The sequence below is a fragment of the Homo sapiens genome, chromosome 12 (genome assembly GCF_000001405.40).
Source record: "Homo sapiens chromosome 12, GRCh38.p14 Primary Assembly".
Classification (NCBI taxonomy): domain Eukaryota; kingdom Metazoa; phylum Chordata; class Mammalia; order Primates; family Hominidae; genus Homo; species Homo sapiens.
This window is the reverse complement of record NC_000012.12, coordinates 78,684,284-78,696,965: the sequence shown is the minus strand read 5'-3', so window position 1 is coordinate 78,696,965 and position 12,682 is coordinate 78,684,284.

Below are 12,682 nucleotides of genomic sequence, written 5' to 3'. Positions count from 1 at the left end.
AAACTTAGAGATTATTTATTTCTGGAATTTTCTATGTAATATTTATGGACTGAAGTTGACTACAGGTAGCTAAAACTGAAGAAGATGAAACCTCAGAAAAGGAGGCACTACCATATGTAAATCCTATCTCAGTAAATGTTTTAAAATTCTGGTGAATATTTTCCTTTTCTCTCATCTTCTATCACATCGAATACCATAATAATGAAGGAAATGTAGGAAGTGAGTGAGGTGCCAAATAAATGCTCTTACGTCCTCCCCTATTGCTTTTTCTTTTATTCCCTAAATGATAATTTGGTGAGCTCTTAATGTGTGCTAGTTTTTGTATTAAGCATCAAGTATACAAAGTCCATTAATATATGATTTCTACATTCACAGTATTTAAGTCTGAAAAAGACACCACTAATTAGCCTAGGTACTCTCTACTCCATCTAGCTCAAACCGGCTTGTGGAGTCCAACTAGCATTATTTACACATTATGTCACTGAATTTTCCACATCCATGGCCAACTACGCTCAAATGTTGGAAAGCCAGTTTTACTTCCTTCCTTTGTCTCTGGAAGTAATTTGGTGCAATAGAGAGTGTCTCAAGTGGAATTCATTGCATTGCCTGAATCCAATTGCTGATCTTGATGCCTGTGTCAGAAACTGTCCTGTGACCTCAAGGTGATAAATGTGGATACTGCAGGCACAGTCCAGTGATAGACAAAAGTCAAGGCCAGAGTGTGAATACCAATATACTAGCCTATGTATTTTAAATTTTATCTTGAAAGCTGTGGGAGGCTATTACAGGTTTTAAGCAGAAAGACAAGTTCAGTTTGCCATGCAAGGGATCACTGGTCATAGTGAGAGGAAAGGCTTAAGAATGAGAATATCAAATGTAGGGAGACCACTTTATGGCTATTATATTCAATCAGTCAAGAAGCCAGGAGAGGCTAAATTAAATTAGGGTGGTACATTGGAGACATGTGAGAAATATCAAGGAAGAATAGACATAAGCGGTGATAATGGAGGTTACATACAAAGCACTTTACTAAGAGGGCTTTTAGGTTCTGTCTTGAGTGACTGGGTTGATAGTAGTGTAATTTTCCAAGATAGAGTGTAAAAAAAACTCTTTTCACTTGGGATTTGAGTTAAGTTCAGTACTGGGCTAAGTGTCAGATGATTGCGGAATATCTCATGGAGGTTTACAGCAAGGGTAGCTGGTTAGTCCAAAGTAGAGCCGAGAAGGCTAAACTGGAGATAGGTGTGTTTTGGGGGTAACCCACTTAAAAATGGTAGTTGAATCTACTGAGATTATCCAAGTGGAATGTTGCATATGAATGAACAGTGGGGTAATGAATGAATACTAAATAACCTGGACTTTTAAATGAGAGAGTTAAAAAAAGATAAGACAATAAAAATCAACCTGAGATATGATGGTCACTAAAGTAGGAGGAAAACCAGAAATGATATAAAAGCCAAGGGAGAAACAAGCAGAGATAGTCAATGCTACACATTGGCTGATTCATCTTCCCAATAGACATTAGGAAAGCAGGGTTCATTCAGCCCAGATTAACACTGTTCTTGTCTGAATGTTTGTGTCCTGCCAAAATTCGTATGTGAAATCCTGACCTCAAGGTGGTGATATTAGGAAATGGGGTCGTTGGGAAGTGATTAAGTTACAAGGGCACAGGCTTCATGAATGTGATTAATGCCTGTCAACCTAAAAGGAAGAAGCTGGAGCAAAATTATTATGAGTAGAGAGTTTATTTGGGTCAAGCTTGAGAATTGCAATCCAGGAGCATTGATTCAAGTTGCCATGAATATACACTCTGATAATCAGCAACGGGTTACAAGTGGATTTTTAAGGGGAAAGAAGAGGCAGTTCCTGAGTTGTTTATCAATAATTTATGAAACAAAATAATTGATTTATTGGCTATATATTGTTCTTTGTATCACAAATTCCAGGAATATGAGGATAACAGCTGAGGCAGTTAGCTGGGAATAAAAAGATTAAATAATTTCCCCCAGGCATGGGTGAGGGAAATGGAGGGGCATGACTGAAGTCCCACACTCATGTCTCCCTCAGCCTCCATAACTCATATAACTGAAACTACTGTAAGCTATTTTTCTTTTCTCATTTCCCCTTCATTGATGAAAAATCTTCCCATGGAAGCATTGATAATAAATCTCTGCTTAGATTATAGAGATAGAGGTTCTCATCCCTTGGTACTGAGAAGGCTCATTCCTTGATAGTCCTCAGTCAAGTCACCGATTTATATAATTGCTGCTGCTTGTTAAATCACCTCTAATCTTGGAATTTCATGTTTTTTGTTTTCTCAGAAGAAGTAAAACAATGAGAGATACATCTACATTGGAGATTCAGTCCAAATTTTAGCAAAATAATAAAAATTCAAAAACAATGGTTAGGGCTGAAATCTATTAACAAGTGCACATAATTGTATTCTCTCTCCAGTTCCCATTTTTACCAAAAATAAATCTTAGTAGAATCAATTTACTTGCAAAATAATTAGTAGTATTATACTTAGCCTGACTATTTGCATAAAGTTTAATAAGAATAGTGATTGGCCATATACACTTTTAAAGTTGGCTTTGCTAAAATTTTCATAGGGAATTTCAAATTCAACTCCTAAAGGCCTCAAGGTTAGGAAGCCAAGCCTAGATATACTATTAAACTGTACTTGTACTGTATGAATTGGGTGAATTCCTCTCTTCTCAAGGTCCCCAAAATATCAGAGCTTCCTGGGCCTAACTTACTGCAAGTTCAGAAAACTTTAAAGAGAATTGTGAAGACAAAGTACCAGGCCTGCCTTTACACAGGGCTTTTTATCAGGTCTATAAAAGTCAACCTCAATTCCTCAAAGCAGTCTGTCCAGAAAATATGCCACTTTAGTCAAGGCCTTGATAAAACAACCAGTGTCTCAAATTATGTCCTGTTCCAGAAAACAGATTCATATTGAGCTTATGCAAATACCTGCATTATCATAAAATCAGAATGCTCACAAATAGTTTCCAAGTTTTGGAAAAATCAGGTAGAGAGGCAAATGTTTCAATTTTGCTCACAAAGATATATTTTACACAATGGTTATAAGCTATAAATAGCTCAAAGAATAAAAGTTTTCCTGGCCCTGGAAAACAAAATATAAAAATAATCAGCAAAATTTCAAATAAAAAGCTATAAAAATCATGTCACTCCTAATCAGTTTAGTCTCATGTAATTAATTTTTGTTCTATTTGATGTTGGGTTAGCAATCTTCATGAACGCATCAGTTTATTGTATGATCTCCAAACTTAGAAACTTGTATTCAAGAGTACATTTCAACGTCTTTTTCCATGAATTTCCTTGAAAAACAGGCAAATTTTGGACTATAGCCAATTGTAAACCACTATTAAGGAAATTTGGTCTTTTATGTGACATATAACAATTTCTAATAATAACTACACTAATCTCTAATAACATATATAGACATATCAAAATTTTAGGAATATCATAAAAGTGTAGAACACATATTAATAACATAGCCATATAAATATAGCTCAGAGAAAGTTAAACACAATTTCTTATTTGACAATGTCTTAAATAAGATTTTTATATACCACATAAGCCTAGTAAGAACCTAATAAGAGCCTAGTAAACCTTTTGGACTTCCAGGGGTACTTTTGGAAAAAACTTAATTTTAGAATTTAAAATTTTATTTTTGGAAGTATGTCAAATATTAAAGATTTAAAACACTTAATTAAAAATAGGATCATAGATCATTTTAAATAATAGTTCAATTAATCAAATTCAGTTAACCAAAATGATAGTTCAAAGATTTCAAAAAGCAAAAACTTTTATCTTTGATAGAAGAATCAGCTTTTTAAACAATCAAAATATCTAAGAAAGACAGCAGGAGCCCAACAGAATCTGTCTTTCTTGCTTTATTTTTTATTTTGCAGTTTACTCAAAAGGTGAACAAAGTCTTTTATGATCACTTATGACTATTATGTGAAAATTCTGTACAAAAGAGAAAACCAAATTCTCTCTTTGCATCAGCATATTAGTATAAACTTGTAAACAAATTCATCCAATCTCAACTAGCTTTGACCACAAAAGATAAGATTTTCACAAACCTTGCAAAACTAACAATTTTCAATTAAAGAGCAGATCAATGCTCTAAGAAAATCCTGTTATTCTAACACAGGCTCTCACACTCTCTATGTCAGCATGATTTTGATATTAATTATAAATATTTAGAAAAATTAAGTATTCCCTAGCCAGTTGAGGTGGCCCACGCCTGTAGTTCCAGCACTTTGGAAGGCCAAGGTGGGAAGATCACAAGGTCAGGGGTTCAAGACCAGCCAGGCCAATATGGTTAAACCCCATCTCTACTAAAACTACAAAAAAAATTAACCAGACATGGTTGTGGGCACCTGTAGTCCCAGCTACTCAGGAGGGTGAGGCAGGAGAATCTCTTGAACTCGGGAGGCTGAGATTGAAGTGAGCCGAGATTGCGCCACTGCACTTCAGCCTGGGTGACAGGGCCAGACTCCATCTCAAAAAAAAAAAAAAAAAAAAAAAGAAAAAATCTAAGTATTCCCTTTTAATTTTAACCTATTGGATCACATACTGAATCTTTCACGAGATTAGTCTTTCACAAACTTTCTACAAATTGTTTAAACCTTCAGTTTTGTCCTATACTTCCTTTTTTATTTTGGCATTCTATCTTAGAAATAAAATTTACTTCCCTTTTCCTCTTATAATTTCAAACACACAGTTATCTCTCACATAAAAGGAAAAAAAAATTCCTCTTCAGCTTTCTTTACATATTACTTTCTTTATACACTCTCTATATAAAATTGTTTGTTATACTTAATTTTAATTACACATGTTAACTACGATTTTAACTCTTAGTAATCCTATCTTCCAGGGAAAACCCAAAAGTAGGTAATTTTGAACTGTTTTATATCAGTATTTGTAGATGAAATCATTTCATAATTTCTAGAAAGACATTTTCACAATTTTTGTTTATTAAAATATCTAAATATATTTAGATTTTCTATACCATAGAAATAGACTCAGGCATTTCATGACTTTTTTTTTTTTTTTTTGAGACAGAGTCTAGCTCTGTTGCCCAGGCTGGAGTGCAGTGGTGTGATCTCAGCTCACCGCAACTGCTGCCTCTTGGGTTCATGCGATTCTCCTGCCTCAGCCTTCCTGAGTAGCTAGAATCACAAGCACGTGCCACCAAACCCCAGCTAATTTTTGTATTTTTAGTAGAGTTAGGGTTTCACCATGTTGGCCAGGCTGGTCACAAACTTCTGACCTCAGATGATCCACCCACCTCAGCCTCTGAAAGTGCTGGGATTATAGGTGTGAGCCACCACACTCAGCCATTTTATGGCTTTTTAAACTTAATTTAACATAACTTTAAGTTATGTAAAAAGATTTTTGAAAGTGTGAATAGTTAATGTTAAGCTTTTATCCCATTTACATTAACATAATTTATTTATTTATTTATTATTTTTTTTAATTTTTTTTAATTTTTTTGAGACGGAGTCTCGCTCTGTCGCCCAGACTGGAGTGCAGTGGCACAATCTCAGCTCACTGCAACCTCCGCCTCCCAGGTTAAAGTGATTCTCCTGCCTCAGCCTCCTGAGTAGCTGGGATTACAGGCACCTGCCATCATGCCTGGCTAATTTTTGTACTTTTAGTAGAGACGGGGTTTTGCCATGTTGGCCAGGCTGGTCTCGAACTCCTGACCTCAGGTGATCTGCCCACCTCAGCCTCCCAAAGTGCTGGGATTACAGGCATGAGCTACCATGCCTAGCCAATTTATTCATTCTTAATAATTATGCTTGAGTAGCTTATTTTAAAAAGCTAGCTATCAACTCAAGTTATTTATTTGTTCATCGTTTCTACAGCCTGTAAAACCCTCAAGTTAAAATACATGGGTATTTTTGCTGGTAGAAGAGATGGCTGCTTTCCTTAAACCAACAAACTAGTTTTATTTACCAAATACTTACCAGTCATGTGAACTAAAAGACATTTGAATCAGTTCCTATTTTTCTGATAAAATACTTGATTCAAGCACTTTTTCTTAAAGCCGATTAATTAGAGTTCTTTCATATATTTTGGTAGTGAAATATTACATACATGACCAATATAAACATACAGACATAGGAACACAGACAGAAGCAAATCTTGTAGCTATATAAGATTCTTCATTTGTCAATTTTCAAATAATTTTCTTTCCTTCTTTAGATTATCAATTTATTGTTTACCTGTGCCATTACTCTAAAAAATTGTTAGCTAGGCAACCCTAAATTTTCATTTTCAAAGATGTGACTCAGGTGAAAATTAGCATTCCAAAGGCATAGAACTTAGATCTAAACACCATTGTTTGTGGAAACAGAAATAACCAGCCAAGACAAGATTGTGAGGAAAAGTAGCTTAAACTGAGGTAAGGTTTGGTATGTAAATTTAAAGCCAATGCCTTTCCCATTGTAAGTTTCTAACGGCTTGCTATGCATGATGGTTGATGCCTGTAATCCCAGCACTTTGAGAGGCCAAGGTGGGAGGATTGCTTGAGCCCAGGAGTTCAAGACCAGGCTGGGCAACATAGCAAGACCCTATCTCAAAAAAAAAAAAAAAATACAGACAAAAAAAAGTTTCTAATGGCTTGGGTGCAGGGAAATGCCATTACAAATGGAGATTTCCTTTACAGATGTGAATTTCTTTACAAAAAGTTTCAAAATAATCAGCTAAATACCTGAAAGTCATGTTTTGGAGACTGATCTAGTTGGATAGGTGATCTTTTCAACTTAGTTTGTTTCTTTATTAGATGACTGACATCAGAGTGGAGTGCTTTAATGAGTAGAGGAAGACATTTCTCTAAATGTTTAAGCAGTGTCTTTCTTATCTAAGTGCACAAAGATGTAGGTAGCCCCCCTGCAGTTACATCCATTCATTGCAACTGCTGTCAGCCATTTTAAAAAGTGCAACTTTCACAGGTAACTTGTCAGCCATTGCACACAAAAAAGTCAAGTTATCACTCACAATACAAAGTAATCCCTGCTACCACCCAAAACCAAGGAGATCAGGTAATATAGTGCAAAATAGAGCAGAGTTTTTTCAAAACAGAAGAAACTGCCCAGAACTCTTCAGACTTTACAAGGAAAACAGAAAACCCCACAAAGTAGGCAGGGTGAGTGGTGCTTTTTTCTATATTTTTCAAGGGATCTCAAAGTCATTAGTTGTCTCCTCTAAATTTCTTCATGTGGTATCATTATGGCAAAAGGAAGGAGGAGCAGAAGTGGAAGGAAATAGAAGAACAAATCTTAGAGAAACTAATTTTGGGAGATTTGAAGCTTTCTAAAGCATCAATACAGGCTGGGAATGGTGGCTCACACCTATAATCCCAGCACTTTGGGAGGCCAAGTGGGGGGTGGAGGATTAACTAAGGTCAGGAGTTTGAGACCAGCCTGGCCAACATGGTGAATGCCTGTTTGTACTAAAAATACAAAAATTAGCTGTGTATGGTGGCTCATGCCTGTAATCCCGACTAGTAGGGAGTTTGAGGTGGGAGAATTGCTTGAACCTGGGAGGTGGAGGTTACAGTGAGCTGAGATCGCACCATTGCACTCCAGCCTGGGCAACAAGAGCAAAACTCCATCTCAAAGACAAACAAAAAACATCAATTTAGTTTAACATTCTTCAGCAAAAATCATGCCAACAAGATAGTGTAACCGCCCAAGGGGTTCACCTTGCCCATTGCCGAGAGAGAAACGATTCATCCAGACAGAGGAACTGCAATAGGGAAAGAATAATTCAAGCAGAGCCAACTGTGTGGGAGACCAGAGTTTTATTATTACTCAAATCAGTCTCCCTGAGCATTCTGGGAGCAGAGTTTTTAAGGATAACTTGGTGGGTTGGGGAAGTCAGTGAGCCAGGAGTGCTGATTAGCCAGGGATGAAATCACAGGGAGTCAAAGCTGTCTTCTTGTGCTGAGTTAGTTCCTGGGTGGGGGCCACAAGATCAGATGAGGCAGTTTATTGATTTGGGTGGTGCCAGCTGATCCATCAAGTGCAGAGTCTGCAAAATATCTCAAGCACTGATCTTAGTAGCAGTTTAGGGATGGTCAGAATCACATAGCCTCCAGCTGCAGGGCTCCTAAACCATAATTTCTAATCTTGTGGCTAATGTTAGTCCTACAGAGGCAATCTAGTCCTGAGACAAGAAGGAGGTCTGCTTTGGGAAAGGGATGTTACTGTCTTTGTTCAAACTATAAACTAAATTTCTCCCAAAGTTAGTTCAGCCTATGCCCAGGAATGAACCAGGACAGCTTGGAGGTTAGAAGCAAGATGAAGTCGGTTAAGTTAGATGTCTTTCACTGTCTCAGTCATAATTTTGCAAAGGCGGTTTCAATAGTAAGCAAACAGAGGGGCAAAAAACATTTAAAAGGGGGTTTTAGTCAAAAGAAAAAATTCCCAGAAACAGGATCCAAAAGAGGAAAAGCAGAAAGAGATTAGAAGTAGAGCCGAAAATTAGCTTTCTCTTATCAGATTTTAGGCAGGACAAATATAAACTAGGTCTCTCATTCAGTTTGGTTCTAAAACCAGTTTTTCTAAATGTGTGTGCAAATAAAGTATTTCAGACATTTCAAAGAATCTATATTTTGAATACTGATTCTAATGACTATTCAGGGTTAGGTGGCTTCATTTTCCTAGATATTTACAAAAGGATGTCCCATAATGTTATACATGAATTCATCTGATTTTTTTTAAAGTGTTTAGATTTTGAAGTTTGATTTTCCATAATTCGGAAGCTTTTCAAAAGCGATTGAGGCCAGGAACGTATTTAGGGTTGAGGTGTGATGTATCTTGGACTGCCTCTAACTGCGAGATGGTAGCAGAGTGCTCAAGGTATCTCATATTATACTCATGCAGAAGAGCAAATGGGGGCACACTTTTCAGTTAGAAACTAAGAGGAGTTGGTCACAAATGAAAAGCTAAATCCAAAGTTTCAAGCAATAGAAAACAGCTGCAATCTTAAAAGCTTGCTATGTAAAATGAAACCACCGGTGCCTACTTGCCAAACCTTTGACCTAAACGTCTGCTGTGAGACAGAGGCAGAATAAAAGGTGGTTCTCTGCAGAGCTCTTTACCTGAAATCCTGTCTAAAGAAGAGACCAAAATTCTCACTTTTTTAAAAAAAGAGAGGGTTTGAAAGCAGCTCAAATACAGTCTAGATCTCCAGTCAAAGATTTGGAGGTCTGAATTCAGGAGAACTCACCTGAAATACCCAGTGAAATTTCTACGGATGAAGAGTTTGTGCTGTTCCAAGTGCCACTTTCAAGAGAAGTACCAGGCCAGGTGCGGTGGCTCACACCTGTAATCCCAGCACTTTGGGAGGCCAAGGCGGGCAGATCACCTGAGGTAAGGAGTTAGAGACCAACCTGGCCAGCATGTGAAACCCTGTCTCTACTAAAAATATATAATTAGCCAGGTGTGGTGGCACATGCCTGTAATCCCAGCTACTCAGGAGGCTGAGGCAGGAGACTTGCTTGAACCTGGGAAGCGGGGGTTGCAGTGAGCTGAAGATCAGTGCCACTGCACTCCAGCCTGGGTGACAAGAGTGAAACTCTGTCTGAAAAAAAAAAAAAAAGACAGAGAGAAGTACCAGGTGGTCAGAGGGAGTCACTCTGAGTCCTATCAGCTACATCAGATATGTCAACCTAAAAGGAAGATGCTGAGTCAAAAATTAACGTAAGTAGAGAGTTTACTTGGGCTAAGCTTGAGAATTAACAATTCAGAAGCATAGATTCTATTGCCCTGAATATAAGCTCTGATTAGCAGTGGTTATAAGTAAATTTTTGAAGGAAAAAAAGAGGCAGTTCCTGTGGTATTTACCAAAAATTTATATTAAAATAACATAAGCTATTGATTGACTATACATTGTTCACTGTATTATAAATTCTAGCAACATGAAGATAATGGGGCCATGGCGGGGGCAGGGGCAAGTTGACTGAAGTCTGAAGTCCCATACTCATGTGAATCTGCACCCTGCATATCTCGCATAGCCCAGGTTGCTCTGAGCTGTTTTCTCTACTTTTCTTTTTCTCATGCCCTTATAAAAGAGACTCCAGAGAGTGCCCTCCTCCCTTCCATCATGCTAGCTTGTAGTGAAAAGACAGCAGTCTAGGAAGCAGGTACTCCCCAGGCACCAGATCTGCTGGTACCTTCACCCTGGACTTTCCCAGTTTTTAGAACTGTGGTTTATAAATCACCCAGTTTATGGTATTTTGTTATAGCATCCTGAATGGACTAAGACAATTAATGGATTACTCAGTAGAAACTTATATTTGGTGGAAAGTAGAAATGGAGACATCTTACCATGGCTGAATTTATATACCTCCACAAGCCTTCTTCTTCCTCTTTCTTTAATATGCTATTTGATTAATCTGGATAACTAGTGTCCTCCATATGCCACTGTGACTCAACAAAGTGGGCAGTTGCCACCTCCAGTTCATGGAGGACTAAGTTAAGATTCGGGGATATTTAATAAACTGGTTAGGTTTTAAGGGGCAGAGCCAGGATTTGAAGTAAAGCCTTGTAAGTCCAAGCATTTTTCTACTACATCATGATACATCAATCCTACCTCTACCAACCTCTTTGTAAGAAGAGGAGTGCTAGGCTGGGTGCAGTGGCTCAGGCCTGCAATTCCAGCACTTTGGGAGGCTGAGGCAGGCAGATCACTAGAGGCCAGCAGTTTGCAATCAGCCTGGACAGCATGGTGAAACCCCACATCTACTAATAGTACAAAAATTGGCCATGGGTGGGGTGGCACATGGCTGTAATCACAGCTACTTCGGAGGCTGAGGCCCAAGAATGGCTTGAGCTCAGGAGGCAGAGGTTGCAGTGAACCCAGATCACACCACTGCACTCCAGCCTGGGTGACAGAGCAAGACTCTGTCTCAAAAAAAAAAAAAAAAAAAAAGAAGAAGAAAAGAAAAGAAGAGGAGTGCTACAAAAACTAAGTTTGGCAGAGGAAATTGCAAATATTTTAACCCACAAATCATAAATGACAAGTTTGATATATATTATTTTTCTTTTTTTTTTTTGAGGGTCTTGCTCTGTCACACAGGCTGTAGTGCAGCGGCACAGTCACCATTCACTGGACCCTCGAACTCCTGGGCTCAAGTGATCCTTCCACTTCAGCTTCCTAAGTAGTTGGGATCACAGGAGTGTGCCACCATGCCAGCCTATTCTTAATAATAATAGTGATTTTGGGGACTTGTTAACAAAATTGATGCCAAGCATTTATCTTTTTCCTTTAGAACCCTGAGAAAATTTATAAATAAATAAATAACACCTAATAATTCTTGAGTGCTTGCTGTGGCTAAGACAATTGTACCTCTTTTATTCCTCCTGACAACCCTATAATACCTTCCCTCCCACCCTGGGACAATCCTCTCAATCAGGGAGGATTACTTGAGCTCAGGAGTTCGAGACCAGCCCTCACAACATAGGGAGACACTGCCTCCACTAAAAATTAAAAAATTAGCCAGGCATGGTGGCATGCAACTGTAGTTCCAGCTACTCAAGAGGTATTATGGGGTGGTTGCGAGGTAATGAGGCTGGTATTATTACTGTCATTTCAGCTGTAGAGATGAGGAAACTAAAACCAGAGAGATGAAGTATTACATCCAAGGTTTTTTATAGCTATGTCCAAGTGTATGTATATAGAGAATCCAGGACTCAAGTCCAGGAGGAGCAAAATCATGCTGCCTAATTAGCATTCAGTGAGACCTGGGAAAACTACGTAGACTCTTAAGCTTCAAAACAGTGTGCTGATTGAAGTGTTATATTGCCTATTGTTCATTACTAGCAACTTATTCCTTGGGGATTAGCTTTGCTTATTCCACACATCACCCACCAATATCAAGTCATTTTTACCTTGATATGAATCAGATTAAAAGAAGAGGCAACTGATGATGGGGGATTGGGAGTGTGAGGGGATAGTGCGTTGAACAAAGATGGAAGGGAGTGGCTACATAAAGCGATAAAGTGAGATTTTTGCCTAGGACTTTTCCAGCTTAAACAGAGTTTCTCATAAACAACAAGGGAGTGGCAGAGCTCAGCCTTAGAATTCAAGGCTCAATGCTAGCTTTTAATCTACCCAATAGAGCAAAACTCCTTTCCCTTTTTATTTGTTCTGCTGCTTAAATTTCCTAAATGTAGGGGCATATTTATTCACCTTAATTTAATATTCTGTTTGTGAGACTGGATTTTGGCAAACCATGACTAATTACCTTCGGTCTCTAGGAAGCAGAATAACAGAATCCATAGCTCTACAAATTTCAGCTGCAGCATAAAAGGAAGCTCATAAAATCTGACGGGTTGTTTACAGTTAACTAAGAAAGGAAATGGTCTAATTTCCCAAATAAGAAAACATCGTCTGTCCCTTCCATGTTCATCTGCTAAAATAGAGCATGAACAAATCCTATTACCAGTGCTCTGAAAATGATTCAGCTCTATACTTTATACCTGTTTTTCATATCTTTTAGTCACTTTGGTTTTCTCTGGCACTCCCATTTAAAATGAGGAAAAAAAATCAAGGCCTACAACTTCGGCCTAGTTTTTCACCATTTAATAATTCTAGGAAAAGGTTTTCCTGTGGAAAACCTTTTCTATCAATTAGA